Genomic DNA, 16749 nt, shown 5'->3' with positions numbered 1-16749 from the left:
CCCAATAGATAACTCATAATGTCTCTCATTTGCATAACACCTTTCACGTCCTTGGGTTCATTGAACTCTTACGAAACTCCAAGAGGAAGCCAGGACAAGGATTATGGCCTCCTTTTACTGATGAGGAAATAAATAGAGGCCCAGAGAACCAGGGGGCTGGCTGGAAACAAAGTGAGGACAGTCAGAGGCCCGGGAGCCTGCTTCTCCTTCACTCCATCCTCTCCCAGGTGGGGGCTCAATGAGGGGGAGGGGCTGCTTCCTTTCCTCCTCTGTGCCCTCCCAGATTTCCCAGAGTGCACCTGTGGCCTTTGGCCCCCACCCCCACCGAAGAGCCTGTGGGGGCCGCTCAGCAAGAAGGAAATTCAGTGGCGCATCTGCCCACATTCTGGAAGGACCCCTGGTCCCCTTCTGTCAGGTGAGTACCCCAGGGTCTCAATCCTGACCCTGGAGGCTCATGAGAGATGTCCCTCTATCCAGCCCTGCAGGCCCTGGGTGGGTCTCGCCAGGTCTCCCCACTCCTCCCACCACATCCCCAGGATGCCACGGCTTCCTGGGCTACGAGCAGTAACTGAAGAGGATTCAGGCTCAGGTGCTCCCAGACTCAGAAGCCTCCACCTAGAGCACGTCTTAGGGGATGTCTACCCTCCTCTAAGATGTGCGAGAGGCCCGGATGCAGGGTGGGGAAGGGGTACATGTGGGGTTACCCCCAAGAGGGCCCATCATCCACCATCCAGAGCAACATGGGGCGTTCCAAGGTCCCCCCAGGCCCTTCACCAGCTTGCAGCTTGCTCATATGCTTGTGGTAGTTGCTCTTTTGGGAGAGGCCTGGTCTCTCTGGTCACATGCAAGGTGACCTGTGGCAGGGTCACACAGAAGAGGCAAGTGAAAGCCCAAAGCCAGGACTTCTGGAGTGCCAAAGGGCAGTGCCAGTGTGGGCACTGGGGGAGGGGGCCACGCGGTGCCGAGAGCCCGCAGCTGCAGGGAGGCTCCCAGGCCTGGCTGCGCTGCAAACTCCTGCTGGCTCAGCTCTGCTCGGGGCTGACTCACCTTCCCTCTCCCACCTGTTCCCCTTTCACAGCCCTCCCACCTGCCTCCCTCCTCGTGCCGCTCCTCTGATCCCTCACTCCACTCCGGCTCCTGCGGCGCTGACGGAGCGGGGTGGGGGGAGTTGCTGCGTCTGGGGGTGTAAGAACCTTAGATGTCACGGAGCTTGGAATTGTGCCAACGGGCAGGCTGAAGGGGCCTTAAAGTGCTGCCAAGCCCTCCTCATGCCACACCAGCTTCCCTGCAGAGCCAGGGTAAGGAGACCCCCTCTGCCCTGCCCTGCCCTCTCTTCCCCACTTCGGTCACAGCCTCTTGGGGAGCAGGAGTGGTGGGCAGGATGGAGAGAATGAAGAGGGTATCATGCATGTGGAAGAAAAGGAGGAAGACAGGGAGGGAGGAAGAGGAAGAAAGGGAGGAAGACAAGGAAGGAGGAAGAGGAAGAAAGGGAGGAAGACAGGGAGGGGGGAAGAGGGCGGATCTAATGGGAGCAAAAAACCCCGCCCTCATCTGGCCACACCTGCCTGCCTGCCTGGAATTCCACGGTTCAGGCCTAATCCTTGTAGATTCACCATGGCTTCCTTCCCACCAGCTTCTGGAAGATTTATCTTCCTTATGAACTCAAATAGCTCACAGAAGAATAGAAAAGAACTTAGGAGGCATCCGACTCAGCTATTTCACCTCATTGCGTTCACCCCTGTCTTTGTTAGAGCCCATGGCTGCGATCAGATGACTGCTTCCTGCGTCTAGCTTTTCTCATTGCAGTTTTTTCCAGGTATTGACTTTTCTGGGTATTGATGGATTCTACATCTTTTCAATTTTTTTTTTTTTTTTTTTGAGATGGAGTCTCGCTGTGTTGCCCAGGCTGGAGTGCAATGGCGCAATCTCGGCTCACCACAACCTCTGCCTTCTGGGTTCAAGAGATTCTCCTGGCCAGGCGTGGTGGCTCACACCTGTAATCCCAGCACTTTGGGAGGCCAAGGTGGGCAGATCACCTGAGGTTGGGAGTTCGAGACCAGCCTGACCAACATGGAGAAACCCTGTCTCTACTAAAAATACAAAATTAGCCAGGCATGGTGGCACATGCCTGTAATCCCAGCTACTTGGGAGGCTGAGGCAGGAGAATCGCTTGAACCCGGGGGGGCAGAGGTTGAAGTGAGCCGAGATCATGCCATTGTACTCCAGCCTGGGCAACAAGAGTGAAACACCATCTCAAAAAAAAAAAAAAAAAAAAAATAGATTCTCCTGCCTCAGCCTCCCGAGTAGTTGGGATTACAGGTGTGCACCACCATGCCTGGATAATTTTTTGTATTTTTAGTAGAGACGGGGTTATGTTGGCGAGGCCAGTCTGGAACTCCTGACCTTGTGATCCGCCCTCAGCCTCCCAAAGTGCTGGGATTACAGATGTGAGCCACTGCGCCCGGCCTTCAATTTTTAATGACTATAGAATGTTCATCAAATTATAGAAGATCAAAAATTATACACCATTATGGATCATCAAGGCAACCCCTCATTTACAGATAGAGAAACTGAGACCTGGAGCAACGCAGTGATGAACATCTTTGTTCACTATTTTTTCTTCTTGTGCCTGTTTGCATAAGCTGAGTACAAGGTTCAAAAGCTAACAGAATTCTGGGCTCTGTCTGGCAGGCTGTAGAAATGCACCCTTCAGCCTTTGAATCTTCCTACAAGGACGATGTAGACCTGGGTCCCAGGAATTGGAAAGCGAAGGAGCTTTAAATCCAATATCCTGGCCAGGCACGGTGGCTCATGCCTATAATCCCAGCACTTTGGGAGGCCGAGGTGTGTGAATCACAAGGTCAGGAGTTCAAGACCAGCCTGGCCAACATGGCGAAACCCTTTCTCTACTGAAAATACAAAAATTAGCCGGGCGTGGTGGCGTGGGCTTGTAATCCCAGCTACTCAGGAGGCTGAGGCAGAGAATTGCTTGAACCCGGGAGGCAGAGGTTGCAAAGAACTGAGATCATGCCACTGCACTCCAGCCTGTGTGACAGAGTGAGATTCTGTCTCAAAAATAAATAAATAAATAACCAATATTCCCCTTCACAGCCACGAAAGGGGCTCCTAGTCAAGAGAGTGAATGAAGATGAGGAAGAATGGCAGGCAATGGGCACAATAATGAGACCAGGGCATGGGGCCGAGAGCACTGGCCTCTATGTGCCTATTCACAGAGAGGAAAGATCACGGGTATCAGAGCCAGAGGGTCCTAGATTTGAATCCTGCCTTTACCACTTACTAGCTGTGCAACTTTGGGCAAGTTAATTGATGTCTCTGAGCCTGTTTCCTTATCTGAAAGAGCCATTCATATCTATCTCACATGCTTGCTGTGTGCGTTAAATGAGATCCCATATGTGACCAGGCATGGCATGGTGTCAGGTACATTACTGGACCTAAATAAATACGAATTGCCTTCTGGAAGGGATTTGGATTGGCTTACAATATAAGACACACAATTTGAAAATGGACCTCTGAGCTACCTGGCAGCCATGGAAAAAGGGACACCTGATGGTTACTTTGCTCTCAGTCTATGAAAACTGGAAGGCTAGAGAGAGAGCTTGGGTTTGACCACTGTGTGATCTTGGGTGTTCTCTTCTCTTTCCTGGGCCTCATTTTCCCCATCTTCAAAGTTAGGAGCTAGGCCAGGTGCAGTGGCTCACGCCTGTAATCCCAGCACTTTGATCCCAAGGTGGGTGGATCACCTTAGGTCAGGAGCTCGAGACCAGCCTGATCAACATGGTAAAACCCCATCTCTACTAAAAATACAAAAATTAGCCAGGCATGGTGGTGAACACCTGCAGTCCCAGCTACTCAGGAGGTTGAGACACGAGAATCACTTGAACCCGGGAGGCGGAGGTTGCAGTGAGCTGAGATCATGCCACTGCACTCCAGCCTGGGCAACAGAGTGAGACTCGGTCTCAAAAAAAAAAAAAAAAGGAGCTGGGACCTGATGACCTCCAGGGTCCTGATGTGCCTGACCACCTAGGATTTTGTTCCTTTGGCCTTCAGAAGCTGGCAGGAGGTCTGGGGGAGAGGTGAGGACAGACAGAGATAGGCACTTAGCAAAATTGGCCAAGCCTAGCTTTGCCCCTCCCCCAATCACTGGCCACCCCTCACTCCACTTGCTGCCTGGAACCTGGCAGAACCTTCCCACACAGCCAGAAGCAAGTGCCTGGATCCTGGCCCTCAGCTCACACGCCGGCCCCACCCACCACAGATTCTAAAGGGCGTCTCAAGGTCACGCGATGAAAACCCGTTGAGCACCTTCTGTGAGTAAGGAAGGCCTGTTTTAGCAGAAACCGTTCAGCACTGAACCAAACCGACAAAGATGTAGCTGGGACCCCACCCTTCAGCCCTGTGCTGAGAGTCCTGAAGCCGGCCTCTGGCCTGGGCCCTGCCACCGACGCCAGGTGGGACCATGGGCAAACCCCTGCCGCTACCTGCTCAGGCTTGGGACAGCAGCCAGGGCTTCTTGGTCATGGTCGCTGGAGCCGTCCACTGCGGTTGCAGGGGCTTTGATAATGGGGCAAGTAAGCCAGAGCCCCTGCTGGGTGGAGGTTGCTTTCCGCTCTCACAGTGCCCACAGTGAGAAGGAGGCCAAGAAGAGACCTTTGGTTGTCCCCAGTTCAGAGGAAGAGAGGGGAGGGTGGGGGAATTAGCGACATCACACAGAGGAACAGCCACAGAGCCCTATCCAGAGCCAGGCTCCTGACCCTCCGCCTGTCACCAGGGTTACCTTCTGGGATGTGGCCCCTTGGGATGAGGGTCTGGAGGCCAGCACCTGCCCCTCTGGCCTCCTGGGGCTCCTGCTAAGCAGGGCAGAGGCTCAGCTCACTGTCCTCCCCTTGCTATCCCTGGAACGTCCCCCAGGCCTGTCTGAGCCCCTCCTGCCTCACCTCCCCCCGGGGCCTCTGTCTACACCTGGTGCAGGGCCTAAGGGTGAGTGCACACAGGCGGGAAGGGTTCAGGGAGAGGCGACAGAGCTGTGAGGATGGAAGGGATATTACACACTGATGTGGGAGGAGGTGACAGGGATAGGTTGTGACAGAGATGGGGAGAGAGAGGAGAAACACAGAAAGAGACACTGAGAGAGTCAGAGACAAAAAATGACAGAGAGACAAGGGCTGAGAGAGGGAGGCCTACTGAGGCCCAGGGGCCAAGAGTGAGCCCGAGGGAGGCAGAAGAGAACGCAAAACAGATCAAGCGGAGCTCCAGCAGAGGAGGCACCGGCTTGTGGGTCCGGAGACACCACACTGAGTCACAGGTGGACAGCAACAGGTGTCGGGGCACAGACGGAGGGGAAGTGACAGCCTCCCACCCACTACAAGGACTGGCATGTCTGTGGGGAAGCAGCTGGGTGCTCAGGGACCCCAGGATGGCAAAACCCTAGGCCCGCATGCAGCCAGGCAGAGAGGAAGGTGGGCATTAGAGAAAAGGAGCTAGGGCCAAAGAAGGGATGGCCCCGGGAGAAGGCCGGGGGCGCTGAGCGGTGCGGGAGCTGCACGGAAAAGCCAGAGGAGGCTAAGGAGATACAGAGACCAAGACAGCCCAGCAACTACAGCAGCGGCTGGAACCCAAATCGGGGAGATGAAGGCCAGGCACGGTGGCTCACACCTGTAATCCCAGCACTTTGGGAGGCCGAGGTGGGTGGATCACCTGAGGTCAGGAGTTTGAAACCAGCCTGGCCAACATGGTGAAACCCCGTCTGTACTAAAAATACAAAAAATTAGCCAGGTGTGGTGGCTATAATTCCAGCTACTTGGGAGGCTAAGGCAGAAGAATTGCTTGAACCTGGGAGGCAGAGGTTGCAGTGAGCCAAGATGGCACCACTGCACTCCAGCCTGGGCAACACAGTGAGACTCCATCTCAAAAAAAAAAAAAAAAAAAAAAAGGAGATGAAGAAAACCCAGAGGCTGGAGGGGACAGAGAAGCCCCGCTGCGTGCGTGTTGGGGGCAAAGGACAGGCCTGTTGCCAATGCCAGTTCCGCTTGGCAGCTGTGTGCCCCAAGCCTCCTATCTTCTTCTCTGCAGATGGGGACCCCGATGTCTGCCCTGTGGGCTGGAGCAGGCGGCGACTCTGTCCTGGCTGTGAGATCTCCTCCACCGCCCCTGACTCCTACCCTGTCAGGCCCACCCCCAGTCTCTTATCACCGCTGGAGGGGAATCTGAGCAATCCCCTACGGTAAGGGTCACAGTGAATGGTGCACTTTCCAGGTGATGGAGCCCCTTACTCTCTGATTTCCCATTTGACACCCCCCATCTGCCCTGTGAGGGGGGTTCTGTGATTCCCCCATTGTACAGATGAGGAGGCTCTGAGGGGTGACACGTCTTGCCCAAGGCTTTCTGGCCTTAAGGTTGAAGACTCTTCAGCCTCTGTACCCTGGCAGAGGTTGGCGGGGAGGCGAGTGAGGCTGAAGGGGGGTGCATGGCATGGGTGGGGCCGTACTGGGGGCTGGGCCAGGTGAGCAGGTGAGGACGACACACTAATGACCTGGGACCTTTTCCTGTAGGCAGTGGGGAGCTCTGGGCAGGCTGGGAGCAGAGGAGTGGGTGACGGAGGTGGCATTCAGGAGCTGCACGTGGCAGCTGAGTGGCCTGGAGCAGGGGCTGGGCAGGGATGGGAAGCCAGCAGGCCCGGGTGGGCAGAGTGGCAGCCTGGACGGGGCCAGCCTTCTCGCAGCCTCTGCCAGTCTCCAGGTGTCTGGGGCTGCTGTGGGACATTGAATGGGGCAGCAGGAATAGGGGGGCCACTTTTGGGGTTCCAAAACCAGTCAGGGAGGACCTGGGAAGCTGCCAGAGGCACCTCAGTGGGCAGGAGAGCGCGAGACAATGGAATGACTGGGAAATGGCAGGTGAGAGGAGGGAGGATATGGGCAATTGAGCATGGGGACGGCAAAGGTGGGGCCGTGGAGAGGATGGGCCAGGCTATTCACAGCCCAGTCACTGCAGGGAAGGACTGGGTGCGGAGGGGGCCGCAAATGGCCTTGCCACCTCCTGGCAGCCAAAGACCAGCTTGGGGTCAGGGGGGTAATGAAATCAGACTTCGACTTTGTGGCATCATGAAGGTGGCGGCAGAAGGGTGGGGCCTGGAGCCCGCAGCCTGGGTGAGGGGCCCAACCATGACCTCCCTCTCGGGTGGTCCTGGGCCCAGGGACTTCCTGGCCCTGGGCTTCAACTATAAAAAAGAGGCCATAACAACAGTCCCTCTCTCACAGGGGTGACAACCTGCAACTACATGGCATCGTGCACGTGGATCCACTGCAGCATGGAGCGGGGTCTGCATCAGGAAAGACACTCCTCCTCTTCCCCCGGCCGCAGGTGGGCCTCACTGAGAGACCTGGAGAATGGGTTTGCTGGGGAAGGCAGGCTTCGAAAGCCCCGGGTCATTGCAGCTGCCTCCCAGCCCAGCTCTCTGCCAGCCTCCCCGTGGGACATGTTATAAACATCAGAGTTGGATGGGCCTTGGCCAGGCACGGTGGCTCACTCACGCCTGTAATCCCAGCACTTTGGGCCACCGAGGCGGGTGAATCACCTTAGGTCAGGAGTTTGAGACCAGCCTGGCCAACATGGTGAAATCCTGTCTCTACTAAAAATACAAAAATTAGCTGGGCATGGTGGTGGGCGCCTGTAATCCCAGCTACTTGGGAGGCTGAGGCAAGAGAATCGCTTGAGCCTGGGAGGCAGAGGTTGCAGTGAGCCAAGATCGCGCTACTGCACTCCAGCCTGGGTGACAGAGCGAGCGGCCCCATCTCAAAAAAAAAAAAAAAAAGAAAAGTTGGATGGGTCTTTTGGGACTGTGGCCCGATCTCCTGGAAGTACGGATGGGGACACTGAGGCCCAGACAGGAAAGGGGTTTGCCTGCGTTTGGGCAGTAACTCAGACGCTCACCTGAGGCTGGAGCTTCCCAGGCCTGCCTTCTTGGCTTCAGGCCTGTCTGTGAGAAGGGGCGAGGCTGCAGCCTCCTGTGGGGCGGGACACAGGGCCTCACTGAGCCATCGCGCGTGCAGAGGGCCAGGCACCCGGCAGGTGGTCAGGAAACAGCTGCTCCTTCTGCCTGTGGAGGTCCCGCTCACGCCCACTGCTGGGGTTGGGATTACATCTCAGGCGTCATCCAGACCTGGCCAAATCCTGGCTCTGCCCCTTGCTACTGATTGACCTTGGAGAGGTGACTTGGCCTCTCTGAGCCTCATCTGTAACATGGGGAAGCCCCAGCTCCCACCTCACACCGCTGCCCTGAGGACGGAGGGAGATGATGTCTGTGGGCCAGGCCCCCAGCCCCTCAGCCCCTCAGCAGCCACGGTCCTCTCCCACTCCTTGGCCCGCACCCTCTGCCTCAGGCCGCACCCATAAGGCCCACCCCCTGCCACTCCGGCATAGGGGAGGGCCTGCCCTGGTAGAGGCTGAAGCAACTTCTCACTTCTGGCAGGGAAGTGACTCCAGTTCGCCTCAGGCCCCCAAAATAGAGTCCTATTTTAGCTTCCAGCTCCTCCATGGGGAGGCCCAGAGTGCAGCGGGAGGTGTTCACTGCTGAAACCTGTACCAGCCACTGTCACCCGCCCTCCCGCGCCCTGCCCTGCTCTGCCAGGCACTGCCAAGTGGTGTGCTTGGGCCTCTCCTGCCTCCTGGTAACGTCCCTGTCACCCAAAACCCTCCACCAAACCCCTGGGCTGCCTGTTCCTCCTGGTTGGGTTCCAATTCCAATTCCAATCCAGGGTCTTCATTCCCCCCGACCCATAGGCCCCAAGACCATCGTGCATATCAGAATCTCAGCATTCCCGTTCGCATTATTCAAATTAGGTCACCCGGACCCACGGACCAGTCTGTCCTTCCACAGCCCCATTCCAGGGAAAGCAGAAGTTCTCCCAGGGGCAGGAGGGAGACAGGGCTGCTGAATTAGAACTTGAGCCATAAAATATATTCGTCCAACCCCACAGAACCTTCCCCCCGAGCTACCTATGCCTTCCCGCTCCAGAGGCCTCGCACCTGCAGTGCCCCCAGCCCAGAGCGCCCTTTGTTGTCTCCAGCTGGGACTGGATTGCAGATTGCCTGCGTCCAGTCATGCTCTTACCCCCTCTAGGGACACTAAGGAAGGACGTCCAAGCAGAGGGACAGCATATACAAAGTCCCCTTATAAAAGAGGGGGCTGGGCCGGGCATGGTGGCTTACACCTGTAATCCCATAGCACTTTGGGAGGCTAAGGCAAGCGGATCACCTAAGGTCAGGTGTTTGAGACCAGCCTGGCCTCAAACACTGTCTCTACTAAAAATACAAAACTTAGCTGGGCGTGGTGGCGGGCACCTGTAATCCCAGCTACTCAGAAGGCTGAGGCACAAGAATCACTTGAATCCAAGAGGCAGAGGTTGCAGTGAGCTGAGATTACTCCATTGCACTCCAGCCTGGGCGACAGAATGAGACACCATCTCAAAATAAATAAATTAAATTAAAAAGGGGGCTGCCATCATCGGGCAGGGTGTTTCTGGCTTCCAGAGGAGCTAGGGGGCTTTCAGCCCTTTGCCACATTTTACAGATAAAAAACAAAGGCAGGCCGGGCATGGTGGTTCAGGTTTGTAATCCCAGCACTTTGGGAGGCAGATCACAAGGTCAGGAGATCGAGACCATCCTGTCTAACATGGTGAAACGTTGTCTCTACTAAAAATACAAAAAATTAGCCGGGCGTGGTGGCGGGTGCCTATAGTCCCAGCTACTCGGGAGGTTGAGGCAGGAGAATGGTGTGAACCTGGGAGGCAGAGCCTGCAGTGAGCTGAGATCGCGCCACTGCACTCCAGCCTGGGAGACAGAGCGAGACTCCATCTCAAAAAATAAAAAAGAGAGTGGAGCCAAGCCTTTCTTTCTGGAGGAGGCAAGGGGTTGCGAGGGACCCTCCAATGATCAGACTCTAGATTTGGTGAGTCAATGTGGGGACGGGGTGCAGATGGACGGGAGGGTGGGAGGCAGACTGTGGGCACAGAACTGGGGTTGCGGGCAGGTGGAAAGCTGGAGGTGCTTTGGCTGCATTCCAGAGCACAAGACCATAGTCAGCAGCTCCTCCATTAAAGGGGAAGCCAAGTGGGGCGCAGTGGTGCACACCTGTAGTCCCAGCTACTCAGGAGGCTGAGGTGGAAGGATGGCTTGAGCCAGGAGTTCGAGTCTGATTGCCCCGTGAATAGCCACTGCCCACCAACCTGGACAACATAGTGAGACCCTGTCTCTCTAGAAAAATACAAAATAGAAGGTGAAGACAAGACTCAAGCAAATCTCCCAAGGCCTCCGGGCTCCAGGCTCCCAGCCCCTAGGCCTCCAGGCAGGTTTCCCAACTGCTCTAGGTGCCAGAGTCCCAACATCCAGCCACACTGGCCAGGCTTGAGTCCCATGCCTGTCTTGAAACCACTATTACGGCCAGAGGACCACTCTCACTGGCTAGGCCTGAGCTGTGGGCATGGAGAGGCTTCTGATCTTAATGGGGAGACTGGGGGTCCTGGCTGTGGGCCCTGGCAGCCTTTGGGGAGGGGAGGGAAGGCCAGAGGGTCTGAGAGCCCAGGAGGGGAGGGAGGAAAAAGCCATGGGTGGGGGTGTGTGCAGGAGAAGGTTCATCCGAACCCGTCTAAGCCAAGGTCTGGTCACAAGGCAGCACAGAACCCTGGAATCAGGGTCCCGCTCTGCTGGGCCAGGTAAGGCCACACCAGACCTTGGAGGCCCAGCTACCCCATCTGTCAGATGGGGGCAACAGTCATACCAACCTCACCGGCTGTTAAGAGAGTATAAAGAAGAGTAGGCATTTAGCTCAGCATCGGCAGCTGTTATTTTTATCCTCATCTCTCAAAGTTCGCCTCTCAATCCCAGGCACGCACTGACTCTGGCTCGGCACCAGACAGTTGGCAACGCCCCTTTGCAGCCGGCATCTGCAGGGAGGCACAGGTGTCCCCGTCTACAGGTGGGAGACCAGGCCGAGCAGCCCGAGGTCCCTCAGAGGTCAGAATCAGGACCTCACCCAGAGCCCCCGACTCCAAACCCGGATCCTCCCATGGCCGCAGTGTTGGCCGACTTGAATTAGGGGGGGTTGGTTGGGGGGATGGGCTTCTTCGCCTGTTTTCCCTCCTGTCACAGAAGGACCAGAGTGACCTCATTCTCCCCTCCCCCGGGAAGTGCACCCCAGACAGGGGCTGTTACTAATTATTCTCACTCCTCCGCGGGCCCCTGCGGGCCCCGGGGTCCCTGCTCCACAGCGCCGCCCGGTGGCCGCCTCCGGAGCTGCCGGCTGCTGCAGGCGGACTGGCGTGGCCCCAGCGGAGCCCCCGCACCCGGAGCCCGTCTGGTTCCCCCGGCTTCAGTTCTTGCCCCCACACCCGCCCGCAGGCTTCACTCCTTCCTGCCGCGAGCACCCGGGGGCGCCTGACTCCCCGCACGCGTGTCCCCACGCGCACCACTGCTGCTGCCAGCAGGAGTCACCACGCCCATTTCTCAGGTGTACAGGTCAAGGCTCTGGAGGCGAAGGGACTCCCAAGGTCACGTGGCCAGGACGGGGCGGAAGGACCTTGGGGCAGACAGCCAGGAGTGGGAGGCAGAATTGGAGTCCGGGTATGACTTTGTTCCCTCATTTTGTTTGGAGCACCGGAGTCTGCAAAGTGAGTTTCACAGACACGATCCAGCCCTGCGCTGCTCCCAGCGTGGCCCCCGGGCTACCCGGATCAGCCTCCGGGCTGCGCTGTCCAACACAGTAGCCCCGAGTCACACTGCGCACTTGAAATGTGGCTGGTGTAACTGAGGTGTGCTGTGAATGTAAGATACACACCGGATTTCAAAGACTTTGTAGTAAGAAAGATTGCAGGCCGGGCGTGGTGGCTCACGCCTGTAATCTCAGCACTTTGGGAGGCTGAGGTGGGCGGATCACCTGAGGTCAGGAGTTCGAGACCAGCCTGACCAACATAGTGAAACCCCGTCTCTACTAAAATACAAAAATTAGCCGGGCGCAGTGGCGGGCGCCTGTAATCTCAGCTACTTGGGAGCCTGAGGCAGGAGAATCGCTTGAACCCGGGAGGCGGAGGTTGCAGTGACCCAAGATCGCGCCATTGCACTCCAGCCTGGCAACAGAGCGAGACTGCCTCAAAAAAAAAAAAAAAAAAAGAGAAAGAAAGAAAGATTGCAAACTATCTTTAAATTATCGTTTTTTGTTTTTTGTTTTTTGTTTTAGATGAAGTCTCTCTGTAGCCCAGGCTGGAGTGCAGTGGCGCGATCTCTGCTCACTGCAACCTCGGCCTCCCAGGTTCAAGCCATTCTCCTCCCTCAGCCTCCTGAGTAGCTGGGATTACAGGCACCCACCACCACGCCTGGCTAATTTTTTGTATTTTTAGTAGAGACGAGTTTCACCATGTTGGCCAGGCTAGTCTCCAACTCCTGGCCTCAAGCGATCCTCCTGCCTTGACCTCCCGAAGTGCTGGGATTACAGGCATGAGCCTCCGTGTCTAGCCTTCTTTTTACTTTTTTTTTTTTTTTTTTTTTGAGACGGAGTTTCTCTCTTATTGCCCAGGCTGGAGTGCAATAGCGCTCACTGCAACTTCTGCCTCCCGGGTTCAAGTGATTCTCCTGCTTCAGCCTCCCGAGTAGCTGGGATTACAGGCATGCACCACCACGTCCAGCTAATTTTTGTATTTTTAGTAGAGACAGGGTTTCTCCATGTTGGTCAGGCTGGTCTCGAACTCCCGACCTCAGGTGATCTGCCTGCCTCAGCCTCCCAAAGTGCTGGGATTACAGGCGTGAGCCGAGCCACCATGCCCGGCCTTCTTTTTACTTTTTAATGTAATTGCTGGAAAATTTAAATTGATGTGATGTGGATCATTTTGTGGCTTACATATTGTAGGACAGGGCTAGACTCAATTGGCAAAAGGTGCCCACTCCTGGTCCCCACCTCACACCCCTGACATCCTGTGTGAGATGGGTCCTGGGACCTGCATTTTAATAAGCTCTCTTCAGGATTCTGCAAACTACCAAATCTCAGATTGAAGCTCCAGGAATATGTCGGGCCTGTTCACCGTTATATTTCTCAGGATCTGGCATGGGGCCCAGCACATAGTGGGGTGCTCATTAAATATTTGTCAAGTAAATTGCCTCATCTATACTCATAGTAGGTAAGTAGGGGAGAGAAGACTTTTTTTTTTTTTTTTGAGACTGGGTCTCACTCTGTCACCCAGACCAGAGTGCAGTTGTCCAATCACGGCTCACTGCAGCCTCAACCTCCCTGGGCTCAGATGATCCTCCCACCTCAGCCTCCAGAGTAGCTGGGACTGCAGGCACACACCACCACACACAGTTAATTTTTGTATTTTTTTGTAGAGACAGAGTCTTGCTATGTTGCCCAGGCTGGTCTCAAACTCCCAAGGCTCAAGCAATCCACCTGTCTCGGCCTCCCAAAGTGCTGGGATTACAGACTTGAGCCACCGTGCTTGGCCGAGAAGACATTTTAAAAAATAATAACTGGTCCCTCTCCCTCCCCCTCCCCTTCTCCCCGGTCTCCCTCTGATGCCACCAAAGTTGTGAAAGCCGAGGCTGGACTGTACTGCCGCCATCTCGGCTCACTGCAACCTCCCTGCCTGATTCTCCTGCCTCAGCCTGCAGAGTGCCTGGGATTGCAGGCACGCGCTGCCACACCTGACTGGTTTTTGCATTTTTTGGTGGAGACGGGGTTTCACCGCGTTGGCCGGGCTGGTCTCCAGCTCCTGACCGCGAGTGATCTGCCTGCCTCGGCCTCCCGAGGTGCCGGGATTGCAGACGGAGTCTCGCTCACTCAGTGCTCAATGTTGCCCAGGCTGGAGTGCAGTGGCGTGATCTCGGCTCGCTACAACCTCCACCTCCCAGCCGCCTGCCTTGGCCTCCCAAAGTGCCGAGATTGCAGCCTCTGCCCGGCCGCCACCCCGTCTGGGAAGTGAGGAGCGTCTCTGCCTGGCCGCCCATTGTGTGGGATGTGAGGAGCTCCTCTGCCCCGCTGCCCCGTCTGGGATGTGAGGAGCGCCTCTGCCCGGCCGCGACCCCGTCTGGGAACTGAGGAGTGTCTCTGCCCGACTGCCACCCCATCTGGGAGGTGAGGAGCGTCTCTGCCCGGCAGCCGCCCCGTCCGGGAGGGAGGTGGGGGGTCAGCCCCCGTCCGGCCAGCCGCCCCGTCCGGGAGGGAGGTGGGGGGCGCCTCCGCCCGGCCACTGCCCCGTTTGGGAGGTGAGGGGCGCCTCTGCCCGGCCGCCCCGTCTGGGAAGTGAGGAGCCCCTCTGCCCGGCCGCCACCGCGTCTGGGAGGTGTACCCAACAGCTCATTGAGAACGGGCCATGATGACGATGGCGGTTTTGTCGAATAGAAAAGGGGGAAATGTGGGGAAAAGAAAGAGAGATCAGATTGTTACTGTGTCTGTGTAGAAAGAAGTAGACATGGGAGACTCCATTTTGTTCTGTACTAAGAAAAATTCTTCTGCCTTGGGATGCTGTTGATCTATAACCTTACCCCCAACCCCGTGCTCTCTGAAACATGTGCTGTGTCCACTCAGGGTTAAATGGATTAAGGGCGGTGCACGATGTGCTTTGTTAAACAGATGCTTGAAGGCAGCATGCTCGTTAAGAGTCATCACCACTCCCTAATCTCAAGTACCCAGGGACACAAACACTGCGGAAGGCCAAAGGGTCCTCTGTCTAGGAAAACCAGAGACCCTTGTTCACATGTTTATCTGCTGACCTTCCCTCCACTATTGTCCTATGACCCTGCCAAATCCCCCTCTGCGAGAAACACCCAAGAATGATCAATAAATACTGAAAAAAGAAATAATAATAATAATAATAATAACTGTAGGCCAGGTGCAGTGGCTCAGGCCTGTAATCCCAGTACTTTAGGTTGAGGAGGAGGACTGCTTGAGCTCCAGAGTTTGAGAGCTATATATACACAAGGAAATTAACATATAGTATAATAATAAAATAAAATATATTTTATATACTTATTTTTAAAATCATTAAAATTTTTTATTTTAAAAATTAACATAAAAATTGTAGTTATTGTACACAACATGTTGTTTTGAATTATGTATGCACTGTGGAATGGCTAAATCAAGCTAAGTAATGTAGGTGTCACCACATACTTATTGTTTTATGGTGAGAACACTTAAAATGTACTCTCAGCAATTTTCAAGAATACAATACATTGTTATTAACTGTGGTCACCATGTACAATGGATCTCTTGTACTTATTCCTCCCATCTAACTGAAATTTTGTATCCTTTGACCAACATCTCCCAACACCCCCACTCCCTCTGCCAGCCTCAGCACAACCACCGTTCTCCTCTCTGCTTCTGTGAGTCCAACTTTTTTTTTTGAGACGGAGTTTCGCTCTTGTTACCCAGGCTGGAGTGCAATGGCGCCATCTCGGCTCACTGCAACCTCTGCCTCCCGGGTTCAAGTGATTCTCCCGCCTCAGCCTCCTGAGTAGCTGGGATTACAGGCGTGCACCACCACACCCAGCTAATTTTTTGTATTTTTGGTAGAGACAGGGTTTCTCCATGTTGGTCAGGCTGGTCTCAAACTCCTGACCTCAGGTGATCTGCCTGCCTCGGCCTCCCAAAGTGCTGGGATTACAGGTGAGAGCCACTGTGCCCGGCTGAGTTCAACTTGTTTAGATTCCATAGTTTAAGTGAAATCACGCGTACTTGTCTTTCTGTGCCTGTGTTATTGCGCTTAACATAATGTCCTCTAGGTTCGTTCACGGTGCTGACAGTGACAGGACTGTCTCTTTTTTTAGGCTGAATAGTATTCCATGGTGTATATATACCACATTTCCTTGATCCATTCATCCACCGATGGACATTTTCAGTTGTTTCCACAGCTTGGCTATTGTGAATAAAACTGCAATGAGCATGGGGTGCAGATGTCTTTTTGACATACTGATTTCATTTCCTTTGGATACACACCCAGTAGTGGGATTGCTGGATCATATGGTAGTTCTATTTTTATTTTGTTTTTGAGGAACCTCCATACTGTTTTCCATAATGGCTATACTAATTTACATTCCCACCAACCATATGCAAGGATTCCCTTTTCTTCACGTCCTCTCCAACACTTGTTATATCCAAGATGTATTTCTAAAGATCATTATCTATATAATTTCATTAAACAAAATATTTTATATGAAGGACAAATGACCTGGTTTCCCCAACTAACAAATTGCAAGGAAAATAGAAGAGATAGAGTAGGAACCTATAGATTGAATGAGATTTAAGAGACATTGAGGCCAGGCACGGTGGCTCACGTTTGTAATCCCAGCCCTTTGAAAGGCCGAGGTGAGGGCCGGGCGCAGTGGCTCACGCCTGTAATCCCAGCACTTTGGGAGGCTGAGGCAGGCAGATCACCTGAGGTCAGGAGTTTGAGACCAGCCTGACCAACACAGAGAAGCCCCGTCTCTACTAAAAAAATACAAAATTAGCTGGGTGTGGTGGCGCATGCCTGTAATCTCAGCTACTTGGGAGGCTGAGGCAGGAGAATCGCTTGAACCCGGGAGGCAGAGGTTGCGGTGAGCTGAGATCGCGCCACTGCACTCCAGCCCAGGCAACAAGAGCGAAACTCCATCTCAAAAAAAAAAAAAGATTAAAACCAAAAGATTTTTCATTGTATTAATAACAGACAAACTAGGCTTCAAGGCAAAAGTATTATTAGAAACAAAGAAGGAGTA

At 54.6% G+C, this 16749-nt stretch overlaps 1 long non-coding RNA gene across 3 annotated transcripts, besides 2 other annotated features; it reads left to right on the top strand.

The window, feature by feature from the left end:
• Positions 1 to 38: 38 nt before the first annotated feature.
• Positions 39 to 13901, top strand: LOC105373030 (uncharacterized). Of its 3 annotated transcripts, XR_938253.3 has the most exons (6): positions 39 to 415; positions 1079 to 1298; positions 1752 to 1816; positions 6091 to 6241; positions 7275 to 7377; positions 13859 to 13901. It is a non-coding gene; the product is annotated as an uncharacterized LOC105373030 (long non-coding RNA). The 3 variants fall into 3 exon arrangements; XR_938254.4 differs by lacking the exon at positions 1752 to 1816; XR_007068095.1 differs by lacking the exon at positions 39 to 415 and having other exon boundaries at positions 584 to 1298.
• Positions 6202 to 6701: an enhancer, noted in NCBI's record as "H3K4me1 hESC enhancer chr22:38813561-38814060 (GRCh37/hg19 assembly coordinates)". NCBI's record gives its function as "activates a minimal SCP1, AML or CMV promoter by ChIP-STARR-seq in naive H9 embryonic stem cells {active_cell/tissue: H9 hESC(naive)}" and the evidence as "EXISTENCE:reporter gene assay evidence [ECO:0000049][PMID:30033119]".
• Positions 11201 to 11400: a silencer, noted in NCBI's record as "silent region_13718". NCBI's record gives its function as "represses an Ori minimal core promoter by ATAC-STARR-seq in GM12878 lymphoblastoid cells {active_cell/tissue: GM12878}" and the evidence as "EXISTENCE:reporter gene assay evidence [ECO:0000049][PMID:35858748]".
• Positions 13902 to 16749: the final 2848 nt, after the last annotated feature.

The sequence above is a fragment of the Homo sapiens genome, chromosome 22, assembly GCF_000001405.40.
Source record: "Homo sapiens chromosome 22, GRCh38.p14 Primary Assembly".
In the NCBI taxonomy this organism is placed as follows: domain Eukaryota; kingdom Metazoa; phylum Chordata; class Mammalia; order Primates; family Hominidae; genus Homo; species Homo sapiens.
Note: the sequence above shows the minus strand (reverse complement) of the source record. Positions and strands in the feature narration are given on the sequence as shown.